This window comes from Homo sapiens, chromosome 11 (genome assembly GCF_000001405.40).
Source record: "Homo sapiens chromosome 11, GRCh38.p14 Primary Assembly".
In the NCBI taxonomy this organism is placed as follows: Eukaryota; Metazoa; Chordata; class Mammalia; order Primates; family Hominidae; genus Homo; species Homo sapiens.
Window position 1 is genome coordinate 118,342,886 of NC_000011.10, and position 18,351 is coordinate 118,361,236.

The 18,351-nt window shown below is 42.1% G+C and overlaps 2 protein-coding genes across 5 annotated transcripts in view, besides 2 other annotated features; both read left to right on the forward strand.

Annotated features, from left to right (window-relative positions):
• CD3G (CD3 gamma subunit of T-cell receptor complex) lies at window positions 1,459-12,276 on the forward strand. 3 transcript variants are annotated; one of them, NM_000073.3, is made up of 7 exons: window positions 1,459-1,593; window positions 6,142-6,165; window positions 6,858-7,085; window positions 7,667-7,798; window positions 8,743-8,786; window positions 9,519-9,602; window positions 10,234-12,276. In NM_000073.3, the coding sequence occupies exons 1-6, from the start codon at window positions 1,539-1,541 to the stop codon at window positions 9,582-9,584; spliced, it is 549 nt and encodes a 182-aa protein (NP_000064.1). In that variant the 5' UTR covers window positions 1,459-1,538; the 3' UTR covers window positions 9,585-9,602; window positions 10,234-12,276. The 3 variants fall into 3 exon arrangements, with proteins under 3 accessions (NP_000064.1, NP_001427248.1, XP_005271781.1); NM_001440319.1 differs by having other exon boundaries at window positions 10,239-12,276; XM_005271724.5 differs by lacking the exons at window positions 8,743-8,786; window positions 9,519-9,602; window positions 10,234-12,276 and having other exon boundaries at window positions 7,667-8,734.
• Window positions 6,612-7,811: an enhancer, noted in NCBI's record as "BRD4-independent group 4 enhancer chr11:118220212-118221411 (GRCh37/hg19 assembly coordinates)". NCBI's record gives its function as "activates an origin of replication core promoter dependent on BRD2, P300/CBP, MED14 and CDK7 cofactors, and independent of BRD4, by STARR-seq in HCT116 cells {active_cell/tissue: HCT116}" and the evidence as "EXISTENCE:reporter gene assay evidence [ECO:0000049][PMID:35650434]".
• Window positions 16,652-16,721: an enhancer, noted in NCBI's record as "active region_5590". NCBI's record gives its function as "activates an Ori minimal core promoter by ATAC-STARR-seq in GM12878 lymphoblastoid cells {active_cell/tissue: GM12878}" and the evidence as "EXISTENCE:reporter gene assay evidence [ECO:0000049][PMID:35858748]".
• Window positions 16,715-18,351, forward strand: part of UBE4A (ubiquitination factor E4A) — a 39,612-nt gene continuing 37,975 nt past the window's right edge. For both annotated transcript variants that reach the window (NM_004788.4, NM_001204077.2), the window contains exon 1: window positions 16,715-16,789. The gene's annotated coding sequence lies outside the window, so the exon portion shown is untranslated. The remainder of the gene's footprint in view (window positions 16,790-18,351) is intronic.

Sequence of the window (18,351 nt, forward strand, 5' to 3'; positions counted from 1 at the left end):
CTATTGACAATGCAACCACATTTACACACAACCTAAACACTGCCACATCTCGAAGCCCCTTGAGAGAAGCCGTCGGCCCCATAGCGCAAGCCGTAGCAGCTAGATTTCTCATGGAGGCTGATCTTTCTCAGGACCCTTCACTAGGCAGCCAGGGACACCAGATCTAGCAGCTTCTTGTCAGTGGGAGGTTGGGCTTTAGAGACCCCAGCCAGAGATTTGAATCCTGGGTCCAATACTGCCTACCTGTGGGGCCTGGGCCAGCCATAAAATTTTTCAGAGTCTTATTCCATTAGTACCATTATTAGGATTCAAACAAGATATTTGCATGGTGCCTCACGCATCATATGTGCTCATTAAGGGGTAGTTATTAATAATAATATAATTGACTGACAGGCAATATTGAGCCTCCCGGTGAGACAAATGGACCTTTTTCCCCTGTGGCCTACGAGGATCTGAAACTCTTCACGCTGCTGCAGTTAGACTGTCACTTACCTGGGGACAGAGTCATGCCTGTCTTGCTCACTGCTGTATCTTGTGCCTGGCACATAACGGGAGCTCTGCACATTTTTGTTGGCTCACTGACTGACTGGCTGAGGGAGATAGGGGCCTGAGATCCTGGACATTCAGTCCGGGCTCTGGCCCCTGAAAATGTGCTGGCCTGTCCTCGGAATTGTTCCACCTATTGCCTTCCAGGCGCCTCTTTCATGATCTCAAAAGAATAGTGAAACCAGGTGCCGTGTCTCACGCCTGTAATCCCAACACTTTGGGAGGCTGAGGCAGGTGGATCACAAGGTCAGGAGTTCGAGACCAGCCTGACCAACAAGGTGAAACCCCGTCTCTACTAAAAATACAAAAATTAGCCGGGCTTGCTGGCACGCACCTGTAATCTCAGCTACTCAGGAGGCTGAGGCAGGAGAATCGCTTGAACCCCGGAGGTGGAGGTTGCAGTGAGCTGAGATAGCGCCACTGCACTCCAGCCTGGGCAACAAAGTGAGACTCTGTCTCAAAAAAGAAAAAGAAAAAAAAAGTGAAAAAAATTCCTGAATGAAGGCCTGGACTGAGGTGGCTTTCCATTTGGAGGTCCAGCCCCAAGCATCTGAGAGTCCCTCCTAAATTCATTACCTACAGCAACAACAACTAGCAACAAGTAACAACTGGCTACGATCCTAACAACTAATGACAGGGACATTTATCTCCCTCATGAAGAAACGGTCCCAGGACCATCTCCCACCCAGCATCCATTGCGGTTCCCTGTGCAAGATGAGTCTCTGAGTGGGAATCCAGCACTCTCTCCCTCTTCTTCCCCACCACCTTCACCCTCCTTAACGGAAAAACAAAAGGCATCTGCACCTGCAGCCCTGCTGAGGCCCCTGCTGCTCACACTTGCAGCAGAGGGTGGAGGCTCTGGGTTCTTGCCTTCTCTCAAAGGCCCCAGCCCCAACAGTGATGGGTGGAGCCAGTCTAGCTGCTGCACAGGCTGGCTGGCTGGCTGGCTGCTAAGGGCTGCTCCACGCTTTTGCCGGAGGACAGAGACTGACATGGAACAGGGGAAGGGCCTGGCTGTCCTCATCCTGGCTATCATTCTTCTTCAAGGTAAGGGCCTACTAGGGGTCTGGAAGCCTGGGGAAGGGCTCAAGGGAAGAGCCCATCACTAGTGAGACAGGAATATTGGTATCCCTAACCTTCAGCCTACCTCTGCTGTCACCTTAGAGTTCAAAGAAGGGCAAAATGGAGGCTCTTAACTGTTCTCTGCTAGAGAGAAACAGTGTCCCATGGAGGAGAAGGAATCCTTGTCTCTGAAAAATGCAAACAGAGTACTTAAATGGCTGAAGAGAGGACCCTGTTACCGCCATCTTAGATTTGAATGCAGCCCAAAAGGGCATAGGCCAAGAAACTAAAAGGAAAAAGTATATGTTCCCTACTTCAGAGCTGGGGGCTAGCAGTCGACCTAGGAAATGTCCATTCACTCAGTTGGGCAGTTGGCCAATTGGTCAACAAAGATGGGTGAGACCCTAATATGTGATATGCCATGAGGAAATAAAAATGAATAAAACACTTATGCTCTACAGAACTCATAGTCTCATTGGAGAGATTAGTTTTCATGGTGCCAGACTGAGTGTACAGTATAGTATGGGTGCCTGCATGAATACTCCATTGGACTATCCAATAGGAAGTGGATGAACTGGGTTGATGCCTGGAGTCTGGACATCCTGGGAAAGTTAAAACCATGGAATTTGCTGAAGTCACACAAGTACTATGTGAGGAAGAGGGAGCTGAAGATGGAACAGTGAGGGCACCAATTTTAAGGGGCAGTTAGAGAAAAAAAAACATTCCAGGAAAGAGATAAAAGGAGAATCAAAGAGCTGAAATAATCAAATGTATGCACTACCTTGGAAACCAAGAGAGTAGAGAGCTTCTAGAAGAAGAGAATTACCAAGAGTATAAAATGTTAAAGAGAGCCCACTAATATAAGAATATATTTAAAAGTTTAAGTCTGCGGGATGTGGCAGAATATGCATCATGGGTGATTTAGCACAGTTTCAGCAGGGTATTGTGAGTGGAAGCCAAGTGAAAATTGGTAGAAGGTGAAGGTCAGGTGATGAGGTCAGCAAGTGTAGACTATTCTTTAAAGACATTTGGATGAGGAGGGAGAAAAGACTGGGTGGTAGGTAGAGGAGGAAGTAGAGTCTAAGAATAAATGTTTTTGAGGGTGAGAGAAACTTGAGCACATTTCTAGGCTAAAGGAGAAGATGATGAGTAGAGCAAGGTCCTGGAGTTGATGGTGGAAGGACAGAGTCAAGAGTGGGGTCAAGAGCACAGAGAGGAAGGCAACGTTACCCTCTAAGACCAGGAGAAAGGAAGTGCAAACGGCACTGGCCACAAATAGGTTTATAAAGGGAAAGGAAGCTAAAGGAGAAAGGACAATAACAACTTCCGTGTTCTAAAAAATCCAGGTGGGAGGCAATGCCACCTGCTGAAACTGAGCTGGGTGATGACCGGTTGGGAGACTTGAAGAGGACAGTGAGAGTTTAGAATAGAATTATTTCTGAGAGAAATGCAAGGAAAAGTCAGGTAAAGACAACACAGGTTGAGGAGCAACTCTCAAGCCTGGGTGAGGTGGCTGCATATCATGGAAAGAGCATTTGAGTTCAGCAGTAGAAAACCTGAGCTCTGGATCCAGCTTGGACACCAATGAGCTATGTGTACTTGAACAACTCCTCCACTGTCTGGGAGTTCTCATGCCAGCCAATCCAGAAATGTGGCAGGGACGGGCATGGTGGCTCATGCCTGTAATCCCAGCACTTTGGGAGGTCGAGGCAGGTGGATCACCTGAGGTCAGGAGTTCGAGACCATCCTGGTCAACATGGTGAAACTCTATCTCTACTAAAAATATTTTAAAAATTAGTGGGGTGTGGTGGTGGGTGCCTGTAATCCCAGCTACTCAGGAGGCTGAGGCAGGAGAATTGCTTGAACCCAGGAGATGGAGGTTGCAGTGAGCCAACACGGTGCCACTGCACTCCAGCCTGGGCGACAGAGTGAGACTCCGTCTCAAAAAACAAAACAAAAAAAAAAGAAATGTGGCTATATGAACTCTTAAGTCCTAAAAGGAAACCTCACTCAGATATGCAACATTAAAAGATGTCAATCAGCCAGGCACAGTGGCTCATGGCTATAATCCCAACACTTTGGGAGGCTAGGGAGGGAGGATCATTTGAGCCCAGGAGTTCAAGACCAACCTGGGCAAAATAGGGATACCCTGTGTCTACAAAAACTACGAAAATTAGCCAGGCATGTTGGCATGCACTTATGCCAGCTACTTGGGAGGCTGAAGTGGGAGGATTGCTTGAGCCCAGGAGCTTGAGGCTGCAGTGAGCCATGATCACACCACTGCACTTCAGCCTGAGTGACAGAGCAAGAAAAAAAAAAAAAGATGTCTCAAAAAAAAAAAAAAAAACTATGTCAATGATCAGTGCAATCTCCTTCCCTGAATCCAATTTAGAATGAGGGGTCTCTGTCTTCTCTCGGTCTTCTGACCAGGTGGTCAGGAGAAAAACTAGTTAGAAACCTCTTTAACTGTTTGTCTTGCCTTTTCTCCCATTTGCTCATTTATTCATTTGCACATTCATTCAACAAATAAAGTTCCTACCATGTTCCAGACACTGCACTGGATACTGTTCAAAAATAATCCCGCCCTGCATGAGGTTCTAAGACAGTTCACTTCTTGTATTTCCATTATACTTTGACTCATGACCGCCTCTCCCTATCACACACACTCCACCTCTAGCCACACTACCTCTCTTGTCCTTTTCCAAAGCTGCATCTTATTCAGCTATTCTTTCTACTCAGAATGACTTTCTCTATCTGGTATATTCTTGCTTACTCTTCAAGGCCCAGACAAATGTCGTTTCCTCTATTAAGCTTTCCCTGATCCTCACCCTTGGACAAAATTAATAGCTTCTACCCTTTTTTCATATGCAGTCATATAAGCACTAAAAGATAATGTATACATTCTATTAAATTAATTGCATATATGTTTTAATTTTTTCACTTCATTCATAAACTTTGGAAGCAGCAGTTGATTCTTCATATCAGCACTCTTTTCTTTCATAATATCTAATTATTTTAGGTCATAATAGTCCTCGTTAAATGTTTGGATTAAATCTAATTGAATTGAATTCAAGTGCCAGATCTCTGTAATATGTCTACCATGCAACTCTACTACCCTAAGGTTTTGTTTGTCTGTTTGTTTGTTTTTATTTTTTTGAGACAGCTTTAACACCTAGGCTGGAGTGCAGTGGTGCAATCTTGGCTCACTGCAACCTCCACCTCCCAGGCTCAACCATTCCTCCCACCTCCTGAGTAGCTGGGACTACAGGTGCATACCACCATGCCCGGCTAATTTTTTTGTATTGTCTGTAGAGACAGGGTTTCGCCATGTTGTCCAGGCTGGTGTCTAACTCCTGGGCTCAGGCAATCTGCCCACCTCAGCATCCCAAAGTGCTGGGATTACAGGTGTGAGCCACTGCTGCCAGTCAACTCTGAGTTATGAGACAGATTTGAGGACTAATTGAAAAGCTAACTTCCCTGGGACATCCAGGGTTTTTATAATAAAAGGATCACCAAGGCTGAATATTTTATAAGGAACTCAGCCTAAAGGTTTTGGATAGTGCACACCCACTCCTTGCCAGGGCATTAGCTGCTCAAGAAGCAGAGTGTTCTGGACTGGATAGGCAATATCCTTACTTACATATACTACAATACAATTCTGATGCTAACCCCCCAAATTAGTGTCAGACCCTACAGGTTAAGAGCATGGTTCCCAACCAGATTGCCCTCACTTTAAATGCCAGCTACAAGTTCAGGGTACCCCAGACCACTCACATTTCTGACAAACTGCCTGCAATCTTAAGGATTCCCATGACCCTCCTCATTGATAATTTGCTAGAATAACTCACAGAATTTAAGAAAGTGCTGTACTTCCTATTTCAGTTTTATTAAAAAATAAAATAAAATCAGAACCAGCTAAATGAAAAGGGCAAGGTCTAGGAGGGTCCCGAACACAGAGCCTCCGTGCCCTCTCCCCGTGGAATTAGAACACATCGCCCCCAGCACTCTCCCACACTCTGCCAGCACATTGATGGGTTCACCAACCAGGAAGCTCCACCAAGTTTTTATTGAGGTATCTTTACATAGGCATGATTGATTGAATCATTGGCCGCTTGACTGATCTCAATCTCTAGGATCCCTTCCTGGGGCTGATACCACTAGTTTCAAAGCTGCAATCCTCTTACCATATGGTTGGTCTTGACCAGCACCATCCTGAGTCATTGCCATGCATAAACTCAGGTATGGTCTAAGGATCCACCACAGATAACAAAGCCACTCCTGTCACTCATGAAATTCCAACGGTTAGAAACACCCTCCCAGGATACCAGGACAAAGATGAGACAAATTGTTTATTATCACCTTGAATTCAATTGAGTGATTTAGTCTACAATCCGGAAAACTAAGTATAGATACTACCATTTTCATGGATTTGGATCTTTCTTCATCTTGGCCTCAAATAACCATGGAAATACTTCAGGGCATCTGAACAACTCCATGCCCAGCTAATACTCTATCTCTCTTCTGTCTTTACAGGTACTTTGGCCCAGTCAATCAAAGGTAGGAGAAATGGCTTCTTTCTATACTCAGACTCAGAATATTGACGGAAATTTGGCTTCCTACAACAGTAGTCCTACAGGAGCGAACAGTTTAGAATGAATGAAATGACGGGGATAGAGAGGTGATGTCTCTATTGTCAACCAAATCAGTGACCTGACATAACCTGTTCCGGGCAGCTTGCCTGTAGCTAAGCATTTAACTGGTCTCTTACAGGAGAAGCAGGACCCTAGTAGCTAGGGACACATCTCAAACTGTGACCCATGAACCAGTAGGTATTGGCGTCACCTGGGATCCTGACGTTAGTCTCTGTCAATCCTTCTCTTTAGTTCATCTATTCTACCCAAAGTGATCTCATCATCTGGTATGCTGTTAGCAGTTTCTTACCTGTATAGTATCTTCCAAATAACATGCCCCAAAATCCCAAAGTTTTACCCCTACTAATTACAGCAATGTCTCTTTTATTCTTCACCCCCTGACGCAGATATTGGCGTCACCCGAGAGCATGTTAGTAATGCAGAATCTCCCCTCCCCAGAACTACTAAATAGCACCTGAAATTTTAACAAGATCCCCATGTGATTCATGTGCACATCAAAGTTTGAGAAACACTACTCTAATGATCTCCTGGTATGCAGAAGCAGGGAGAATTTCAGAGGCAAGATCCTTAATAGAACCACGGCTTTTCTCATTTCAGGAAACCACTTGGTTAAGGTGTATGACTATCAAGAAGATGGTTCGGTACTTCTGACTTGTGATGCAGAAGCCAAAAATATCACATGGTTTAAAGATGGGAAGATGATCGGCTTCCTAACTGAAGATAAAAAAAAATGGAATCTGGGAAGTAATGCCAAGGACCCTCGAGGGATGTATCAGTGTAAAGGATCACAGAACAAGTCAAAACCACTCCAAGTGTATTACAGAAGTATGTAATCCCCTTTGGTCTGTTTGTTGTGAAATTAATCAGTATTTGCTGTTCTGGTGAGCTTTTTATCTGGGGTGAAAGTGGAAATAGATCCTCAACAGTAATATTATCGCCTGTTCTCTTAATTTCAGCTTGCCTCTTTTAAAATACTGTAAGATACTTCCCTCACCCTATTGAAAAACTACAGCCAGTCCTGTAAAATTTTGTTTACCTTTGGGTGGGCTCCATGGATTCAAGCAATTCAGCACTGAGTTGAATGAAGGGGTTGGGGAGACAGAGGTGATCATAAGGTGAGCAGCAGTGAGAACTGGAGCGCAGTGGAGCATGAAGAGTATCTAGTCTTCCTTCTGTTCCAGATACTTCCTGGTAGTTAGACTACATGGGCTTCCCCAGGAATCCTGGGGGACTTAAGAGCATCAAGATGCATTGAGTTTTGGCGCAAGGATCTTCCCTTGCCCTGCCACCCACAGAGGAAAAGCCTGCTGCCCTCCACAGCGGCATTATTGCAGACAGGCAGGAGAAAACGAACCAGGAAAAACAACTTTCGCAACCTGAAGGTTTGTCTCTCCTTTTCCCTACAGTGTGTCAGAACTGCATTGAACTAAATGCAGCCACCATATCTGGCTTTCTCTTTGCTGAAATCGTCAGCATTTTCGTCCTTGCTGTTGGGGTCTACTTCATTGCTGGACAGGATGGAGTTCGCCAGTCGAGAGGTAAAAGAATGCTCTTAGATGAGAGATGGGACCACCTGAGACCCTCAGCTTTCCTCCTACCATTATGTACCCAATGGAAGAGACTGAGTTGGTGCTTCTTGCTAGTGTGCATAGTTGGGTGAGGCTGTATTTCTCTGAGACAGGAGAAAGGATACTTGGTGTTATCACAGCATGTTCACCTGTCTCAAGATACAGCTCCCTCTGTGAAAAAAAAAAAAAACAAAAACAGGCGCAGTGGCTCACGCCTGTAATCACAACACTTTGGGAGGCCGAGGCGGGCAGATCACGAGGTCAGGAGATCGAGACCATCCTGGCTAGCACGGTGAAACCCCGTCTTTACTAAAAATACAAAAAATTAGCCGGGCGTGGTGGCGGGTGCCTGTAGTCCCAGCTACTCTGGAGGCTGAGGCAGGAGAATGGCATGAACCCGGGAGGCGGAGCTTGCGTGAGCCGAGATCGTGCCACTGCACTCCAGCCTGGGCGACAGAGCAAGACTCCGTCTCAAAAAAAAAAAAAAAAAAAACTATTTTAAGTAAACCCTTACATACAGAAAAGTGAATCACAAGCATACAGCTCAAAAAAAAAATTCACAGAGCAAATACACCCATGCAGCCAGCACATAATTTAAGAAAGACAATATTACCAATGCCATTGAAGCCCCTCTTGTGGTCACTTCCAGCCACTACCCATCCTCAAGAGTGAGCATTGTCCTGACTTCTAACAACAAGGATTAACTTTGCTTGTTTTTGTCCTTTATGTAAATGGACTCATATACTAAGTATTCTTGTGAGTAGCTTCTTTCACTCAACAACATGTTTATGTGCTTTATCCATACTCTTGTGTATATATAAAACTCTTATTGTTATTTAGTATTCCATTTTGTGAATATAACCCAATTTATTATGCATTCTACCTTGTGTGGATTCTGTTTCTTTTTTGTGCAGCTTCAGACAAGCAGACTCTGTTGCCCAATGACCAGCTCTACCAGGTAAGGGGATGAAGAATAAAAGAGACATTGCTGTAATTAGTGGGGGTAAATCTTTGGGATTGAGGGGCATGTTATTTGGAAGATCCTATACAGGTAAGAAACTGCTAACAGCATACCAGATGATGAGATCAGTTTGGGTAGAATAAATGAACTAAAGAGAAGGATTGACAGAGACTGAGGTCAGGATCTAGTGAGCACAAGTTGAAGAACACACTGAGAGGGACACACGAAGAAACTCTCGACAGGCTGGGCACTCACTATAGACAGGCCATGGCTCATGCCTGTAATCCCAGCACTTTGGGAAGCCAAAACAGGTGAATCACCTGAGGTCAGGAATTCGAGACAAGCCTGGCCAACATGATGAAACTCTGTCTCTACTAAAAATACAAAAAAAATTAACCAGGCGTGGAGGCGCGCGCCTGTAGTCCCAGCTACTCAGGAGGCTGAGGCAGGAGGACCACTTGAACCCAGGAGGTCGAGGTTGCAGTGAGCTGCGATTGTGCCACTGCACTCCAGCCTGGGCAACAGAGAAAGACTCCGTCTCAAAAAAAAAAAAGAGAGAGAGAGAAAAAGAAAAAAGACAGAGCCTCCATCTCCTTGTCCTCTTTCCATCCTCAGGACCATGAAGTACCCACTCCAAATTCTCACATATAAAAAACATTCAATAAACATGCATCAAATTAATTAATAGAGGATGGAAAAAATGACTTATGACTGTGCTGTCCTTTCCAGCCCCTCAAGGATCGAGAAGATGACCAGTACAGCCACCTTCAAGGAAACCAGTTGAGGAGGAATTGAACTCAGGACTCAGAGTAGGTGGGTTCTTCAATGCCAATTCTAATAAAGGACCCTTGCATCAACTGCCCTCGCAATTGCTTCTAAGTCTAGCTCCCTTCCCTAAGCGGCTATAAGCATCAGACTCTGGGGATCAGGGATTGGGACGTGGTTTGGGGTACTCTTTTCTAAAAATTCTGGGGCCATACTGATTGTCTTGGCCTAGGTAAATATGAATTTTATGTATCTGTAAATCCTGTCAGAGCAGGGCCTCAAGCCATAGAGATGCTGAATATTAATCTTAACCTACATTTGAATTTCTCATTATCTACACTATTAACATTTTGGGCTAATTAATTATTTGTGATGAGGGGCTAGCCTGTGCATTGTAGGAGTTATGGAAGCATCCCTGGCCTCTCTCCACCAGATGCTGGTAGATTGTCCAGTGTGACAATCAAAAATGTGTCCAGACATTACCAAATGTGTCCAAACATCACCTCCAGGGCAAAATCACCCTTAGTTAAGAACCACTAACCCATATTAACCTTCCAATCAATAAATCAATCAGTCAGAAGTTATGATTTAATTAATCTATCTGAAGTTTCTATCAGGAAGACAGGGTTGAAAGCATTATTTGTTTTTTTTGAACAAATTGCAATTTTTCTTTTTTCAGTCCAGGTGTTCTCCTCCTATTCAGTTCCCAGAATCAAAGCAATGCATTTTGGAAAGCTCCTAGCAGAGAGACTTTCAGCCCTAAATCTAGACTCAAGGTTCCCAGAGATGACAAATGGAGAAGAAAGGCCATCAGAGCAAATTTGGGGGTTTCTCAAATAAAATAAAAATAAAAACAAATACTGTGTTTCAGAAGCGCCACCTATTGGGGAAAATTGTAAAAGAAAAATGAAAAGATCAAATAACCCCCTGGATTTGAATATAATTTTTTGTGTTGTAATTTTTATTTCGTTTTTGTATAGGTTATAATTCACATGGCTCAAATATTCAGTGAAAGCTCTCCCTCCACCGCCATCCCCTGCTACCCAGTGACCCTGTTGCCCTCTTCAGAGACAAATTAGTTTCTCTTTTTTTTTTTTTTTTTTTTTTTTTTGAGACAGTCTGGCTCTGTCACCCAGGCTGAAATGCAGTGGCACCATCTCGGCTCACTGCAACCTCTGCCTCCTGGGTTCAAGCGATTCTCCTGCCTCAGCCTCCCGGGCAGCTGGGATTACAGGCACACACTACCACACCTGGCTAATTTTTGTATTTTTAGTAGAGACAGGGTTTTGCTCTGTTGGCCAAGCTGGTCTCGAACTCCTGACCTCAAGTGATCCGCCCGCCTCAGCCTCCCAAAGTGCTGGGATTACAGGTGTGAGCCACCATGCCTGGTCTTAAAACCAGTTTCTTATATATCTCTCTGGAGGTATTCTAGGCATATATGAGCACATTCTCAAGTACATATTATCCTCCCTTCCCCTATCTTTTAGACAAATGATATCAAACTATACATCTTGTGAGATTATTGCATACCATTATATGAAGATACCATTATATCCTTTTTAATGCAACCATATTGTACAAATAGACTATGATTTATTTAACCTGTTATCTATCAGTGGATATTTAAGTTGGTAGTTGGTTCCAATCTTTTGCTCTTACAACAATTCTGCAATGACTAACATTGTATAAATATCATTTTTAAAAATAATTGCATTGAAGCATAATGTACATGCCATAAAATCCACCCATCTTAAGTGATTTCACCTGTTCTCAGAAATTTTTAGTAAATTTAACTAATTGTACAGCCATTACCATAATCCAGCTTTAGGACATTTTCTTTTTTTTCTTTTCTTTTCTTTTTTTTCTTTTTTTTTTTTTTTTGAAGTGGAATCTTGCTCTGTGGCCCAGGCTGGAGTGCAGTGGCGCGATCTCAGCTCACTGCAACCTCCACCTCCTGGGTTCAAGCGATTCTCTTGCCTTGGCCTCCCGAGTAGCTGAGACTACAGGCACATGCCACCACGCCCAGCTCATTTTTTGTGTATTTAGTATTTGTGTATCTAGTATTTGTGTACTTAGTAGAGACAGGGTTTCACCATGTTGGCCAGGCTGGTCTCCAATTCCTGACCTCAGGCGATCCACCCGCCTTGACCTCCCAAAGTGCTGGGATTACAGGTGTGAGCCACCGCGCCAGGCCCGTAACTGTATTTTAATATAGCCATTCTATGGATTTAATATGGTATTTTATTATGGCCTTAATTTGCATTTCCCTAGATACTAACCATGCTGAGTGTCCTGTCTTGTGTTTATTAACCATTCATATATTTTTAGTGAAATGTGTATCAAATCTTTTGCCCATTTTTAAGTTGACTTATTTGTTTGTCTTCTTACTATTGGGTTGCATATGTTTTTGATATAAGTCCTTTATCAGATATATGATTTGGAAATATTTTCTACCAATCTGTGGTTTGTTTTTCTTAATGGTGTCTTTTGAAGTGCAAAAGGTTTGAATTTTGAAGTACATTTTATTGATTTTTTCTTCTATATATTGTGCTTTTGGTATCATGTCTAATAAATCTTTACCAAACCCACAGTTACAAAGATTTTCTCCTGTCTTCTTTTTATACTTTTTACAGCTTTATGGTTTTAGCTCTAACAATAAATGTGATTTTGAACATACATAAGACTATTTGTAACAAACACAAATAAATTGAATTGTTGGGCACTTGTATTTGCATTTGTAATTTTATTAACTATTGCCAAATAGCAGTTGTAAACACGTACACACACACAAGTGTATATACACATATACATATATATACATATACATGTATGCATATATGCATATATACATATATGCATATATACACATATATACATATATACACATATACATATATGCATATATACACATATATACACATATACATATATGCATATATACACATATATACATATATACACATATACATATATGTATATATACACATATACGTATATGTGTATATATACACATATACGTATATGTATATATACATATATGTATATGTATATATACACATATACACATGTATATATACACATATACACATGTATATATACACATATGTATATATACACATATACACATATGTATATATACACATATACACATATATACACATATGTATATATACACATATACATATATGTATATATACACATATGTATATATACACATATACATATATGTATATATACACATATACATATATGTATATATACACATATACATATATGTATATATACACATATACACATATACACATACATATATGTGTATCTACACATATACACATATACACATATACGTATACGTGTATATACGTAGATACACATATACATATATACACACGTGTGTATATACGTATATACACAAGTGTGTATATACGTATACACACATATATGTGTGTGTATACGCATACACACATATATGTGTGTGTATACGCATACACACATATACGTATATATGACAGGGTCTTGCTCTGTTGCTAAGGCTGGAGTGCAGTGGCACAACATTGGCTCACTGCAGCCTCGACTGCCCAGGCTCAAGCAATCCTCCCACCTCAGCCTCCTGAGTAGCTGAGATTTCAGGCGTGTGCCACAATATCCAGCTAATTGCTTAATTTTTTTTATAGAGAGAGGGTCTCACTATGTTGCCCAGGCCAGTCTCAAACTCTTGGGGTCAAGTGATCCTCCCATCTCATCCTCCCAAAGTGCTGGGATTACAGGTGTGAGCCACTGTGCCCAGCCAGGTTGTACCAATATACACTACCAATAACAACAAACAAAAGTGCCTGTTACTCCATACATGTTCCAACAGTGTATTATTAAACTTTTGAATCATGCCAAACTGAATGGCTTCTCACTATAATTTTAGTTTACATTTTTCTTATTAAAAATTGGAGGCTAGGTGTGGTGGCTCATACCTGTAATCCCAACACTTCGGGAGGCCAAGGCAGGTGGATCACCTGAGGCCAGTAGTTTGAGACCAGCCCAGCCAACATGGCAAAACCCTGTCTCTACTAAAAATACAAAAAATTAGCTGGGTGTGGTGGTGGGTGCCTGTAAACCCAGCTACTCAGGAGGCTGAGGCAGGAGAATTGCTTGAACCTGGGAGGTGGAGGCTGCAGTGAGCTAAGATTGCACCATTGCACTCTAGCCTGGACAACAAGAGTGAAACTCCGTCTCAAAAAAAAAAAAAAAAAAAAAAAACTGGAGTAAACCATTTGTTTTTCCTTCTCATGATACATAAGTTCACATCTTTGGTCTTTTTCTTATTGACTTACACTAACCCCTTACATATTTGGGAAACTAGGTCTTTTGTGATATTAGTTGCAAGTCTTTTTCCAACTTTATGTGTTTTTTAACTTTGCTTTAAAAAACACATTGGTTAGTTTTTCACGCACACTTTACAATTATTTGCATGTAGTATAATTCACTGGTCTCCTATGGTCTCTAGGTTACGTTTCATATTTAGAAAGTCTTTCTCCATTTTAAAATTATCCTTTTTTAAAAGTTCCCCCATGAATTCCTCTAGCATTTTTATGGTTTTATTTTATGCATTTATATCTTTGACCCATCTCGAATTGATTTTAGCATCAGATCTAATGTAGTAACCAACTTTAAATACAGATAGTTACCCAGCTATTCCAGAAATATTATTGAATGATTCATTTTGCGTCCATTAATTTTAAATGCTGTTACAACCCCACTCGCCAGATTATAAGCTCCAAGAAGGAAAACACTTACGTTTTTTCACTATGGTATCCTTAGGAACTAGAACAGTGGTAGGCACACAAAGATTGCCCAGGGCTTTTTGTGTGTGTGTGGTAAAAGATATGTAACCTAAAATTTACCATTTTAACCTTTTTTTTTTTTTTTTTTGAGACAGAGTCTCACTCTGTCATCCAGGCACTCTAGCGCAGTGGCACGATCTCGGCTCACTGCAACCTCTGCCTCCCAAGTTCAAGCGATTCTCCTGCCTCAGCCTCCCAAGTAGCTGAGATTACAGGCGCACATCCACATGATCAGCTAATTTTTGTATTCTTAGTAGAGACAGGGTTTCACCATGTTGACCAGGCTGGTCTTGAACTCCTGACTTCAAGTGATCTGTCCACCTCGGCTTCCCATAGTGCTGGAATTACAGGCATGAGCCACTGCACCCAACCCCATTTTAACTATTTTTAAGTGTACCATTCAATGGCATTAAATATATCCACAATGTGTAGCCATCATCACTACCCATTTCAGAAATTTTTCATCCTCCTAAACAGAAACTTGGTACCCATTAGACAATAACTCCCATTCGCCTCTCCCTCCAATCCCTGGTGACCTCTATTATACTTTCTCTCTCAAGGAATGTGCCTATTCTGTGTACCACATATAAACTGAATCATACACTATTTAGTCCTTTCTGTCTGGCTCGTTTCAGTTAGCATAACGTTTTCAAGGTTCATCAATGTTTCAGCGTGTATCAGAACTTCATTCTTTTTCAAGGCTGAATAAGTCATCTGTAGCTATATACCATATTTTGTTTATGCATTCATCTGTTAATGAACATTCTGGGTTATTTCTACCTTTTGGTTATTATGAATAGTGCTACTGTAAATATATGTATACAAGTATCTGAGTTCCTGCTTTCAGTTATTTTGAACATCTATATCAAAGCGGAATTGCTTGATCATGTGGTTATACTATGTTTAACTTTTTGAGGAATCATCAAACTGTTTTTCCAAAAAGTCTGGACTATTTAACATTGCCATCAGCAACGCATACGGTTTCAATTTCTCCACATCTGCCAACAATTACTTTCCTTTTTTTTTATAGTAGCCATCCTAGTAGGTATTAAGTGGTATCTCATGATTTTTTTTTTCATTTCCCTAAAGACTAGTGGTGTTGAGCACTCTTTCATATGCTTATCCACCATTTGTACAGTTGGCCTTCCATATCTGTGGGCTCTGCATCTGTGGCTTCAACCAACCATGAATTGGAAATATTCCAAAACAAATTTCATCTGTATTGAACATGTACAGACTTTTTGTCATTATTCCCTAAACAATACAACACTATTTAGATTTATGTTGTATTAGGTATTATAAGTGATCTAGAGATGACTTAGTCATCTCTAGGATGACACAGGAGGATGTGCATAGGTTATATGCAAATACTGCATCATTTTATGTAAGGAACTTGAGCATCCTTGGATTTTGGTACCCAAGGGGGTCCTGAAACAAATCCCCCACAGATACCAAGTGGATAGTCATTCTCTTGGAATGTATCTTCTTTGGAGAAATGTCTATTCAAGTCCTTTGCCCTTTTTTGAACTGAACTGTTTGGGGGTTTTTCGTTCTTGTAGTTCTTTACATATTCTAGAGATGAATCCTTTATCAGATATATGAGTTGCAACTATTTTCTCTCAATCTGTGAATTTTCACTTGCACAGCGCTTTTAACTCTTGAAAATTATGCTGCTTCTATTATTTATGTGTATCCCGATCTCTTGCCCTCGTGACCCGCCCGTCTCAGCCTCCCAAAGTGCTGGGACTACAAGGCGTGAGCCACTGTGCCTGGCCATCTATGTGTATCTCAAAACAACCTTGTAGGATGTATACTGTCTCCACTTTACAGATAAGAAAACTGAAATCCAATCAAAGATAGCACACTCCAAAGATTGCTCCAAAGACAGCACAACAATAACAAACTTGTAGTTGTTATTGCTGTTAGTGTTATCCCTTTGAATAATAGAGAGTAACAGAAGCTGCTTCAAAAAGGTCTAGGACTGGTGGGAAAATAAGAGAGCAGACCCCCAACAGAGGTTGCGAGCAGAGCCAGGGATCACAGAGTTTTATCTGCCCTCGGTACGCTGATTTCCAAAACCCAGCCTCATATTCTATACTCCAAAGCGCACTGCCAGGTGGGCCAACTCCAGCCCCCACAATCCGATGCCAAGGCCACTTCTTGCCACTTCCTGCCCGCCTCCAGCCCGCCCCTAACAAGCTAGCGCATGCGCTGTAGGACTATTTGCGCGCCGTTCCCCCCGGTGAGCCTGCACACCGTGCTTCCGGCGCGGAGATGAACTTCCACATGCCCCGGCGCTTGTTGATGACGTAACTTCCGGTTGCTGTGCTGAGTCGGAAGTGGGAACCCTTCGGCCGCTGAGATTCTGTCGTGTCGTCGCTGCTGGCACTTCAGGCTCTGGTAAGACAGGCAATAGCTTCAGGGGACGGGGTCGTTGACTTTGCGTTGTGATATTTTCTGCTGGTCCAATGCCACTTCAAGCCTGTTCACTCTTATCTTCTCCAAATTCCTTCTCCTATGCTTTGCTAACCAGGGACCTTCTCCTTCTTGAACTTCGACCCTGTCTGATTTGGAACCCCTTACAGTGCCCCAGCTTCTGATGTCTCTTTGTACATTTCTGTCCCCATCTTTGCCAAGCCCCTCCTGGAAGAGGCCGGAGCGCTATCATTGCATTATCTTTTGACTTAACTTTCTCTAGAACGTGCCCCGGGCGGGTGGATCTCCCTCCTTCCCGCGAATCCCTTATGGAGCATGGAAGGATAAAATATAAAGAGTAGATAACAAATAGGCAGATGCCAAGAAGATAAGATTAATCGTGAGTCGTAAGCAAACCAGTTCAATGCATACGTCAGGGTGTTGATAATTCTTAAGGCAGGTGATGAGTTCACCACAGATAACTCTTGGGGCACTCTGCTTCATGTTTCCTTGGGTTTAGAAGACACTTCTAAAATTGAGTGACCATGCCTCATGACCTTATATTTGATGAGCCTTCCTTTTAGGATCAGTTTTATGCCCTGACAGCAAGCATGTGTTTAGTCTCGCTGTCATTTACTGTTTTGGTCTCACGTGGAAGCCCACCTGCGATAAAATGGGATCCAAGAAGGACTGCTGTCTGCTTTTTGACTTGAGATCCTTCTAGGCTGCAGATAGATGTGTTGATGGAATTTGTTGCCACATTAGCATGGCCTGATAGTGTTAGGTGAAACATACGACAACGAAAATTGTTTCTTAATTTCTATTTTAAATTGATATTTTAATTTCTATTTTATATTGATATATGTATTATTTGCCAGGACACAGACCTTATGGGAGTATGATTTGATAGAGCTTGATTTTGACGATCCCAGTTTTACAAAGTGTTCCAGATATTTCTGTTGAAAAACAATACCAAGTCTGATGTTAACACACTTGTGTGTTCATGAGAGCTGACAGTGGTCTTAAAGGATTAGTGGTACTATTCATAAACAAAAGCTTGTATTAGGAGGAAGTGACAGAATTTTGTAGGACAGCTATTATAGATATAGATCTTTGCAGCAAGTGTATCAGAGTGAAACTTGTTTTCAAGGAGGATATATTTTAAAAGAATCAAATCCAAAAGCTTCTAAGGTTGGTAGCTGTACCATCCCAAAGTGTCTGACAACAGGATAGTGTTGTATCTCTGTATGGCAGTTGAAAATAGGAAAAAAAATACATACATATATGTATGTATATATGTGTGTGTGTGTGTGTGTGTATTTTTTTTTTTTTTTTTTTGAGACAGAGTCTGGCTCTGTCACCCAGGCTCTGCTCTGGAGTGCAGTGGCACGATCTCAGCTCACGGCAACCTCCATCTCCCAGTTTAAAAGTGATTCTCCTGCCTCAGCCTCCCAAGTAGTGGGATTACAGCCTGGCTAAGGTGTGGTGGTATGCGCCTGTAATCGCTTTTAGTGGAGACGGGGTTTCACCACATTGGCCAGGCTGGT

Bases quoted from the DNA above. Each gene is read 5' to 3' on its own strand.
- CD3G (XM_005271724.5), top strand. From the start codon at position 1,539: ATGGAACAGGGGAAGGGCCTGGCTGTCCTCATCCTGGCTATCATTCTT. The intron at 1,594-6,141 runs GTAAGGGCCTAC...CTGTCTTTACAG, and splicing joins GGCTATCATTCTTCTTCAAG to GTACTTTGGCCCAGTCAATC. The intron at 6,166-6,857 runs GTAGGAGAAATG...TTCTCATTTCAG, and splicing joins TTTGGCCCAGTCAATCAAAG to GAAACCACTTGGTTAAGGTG.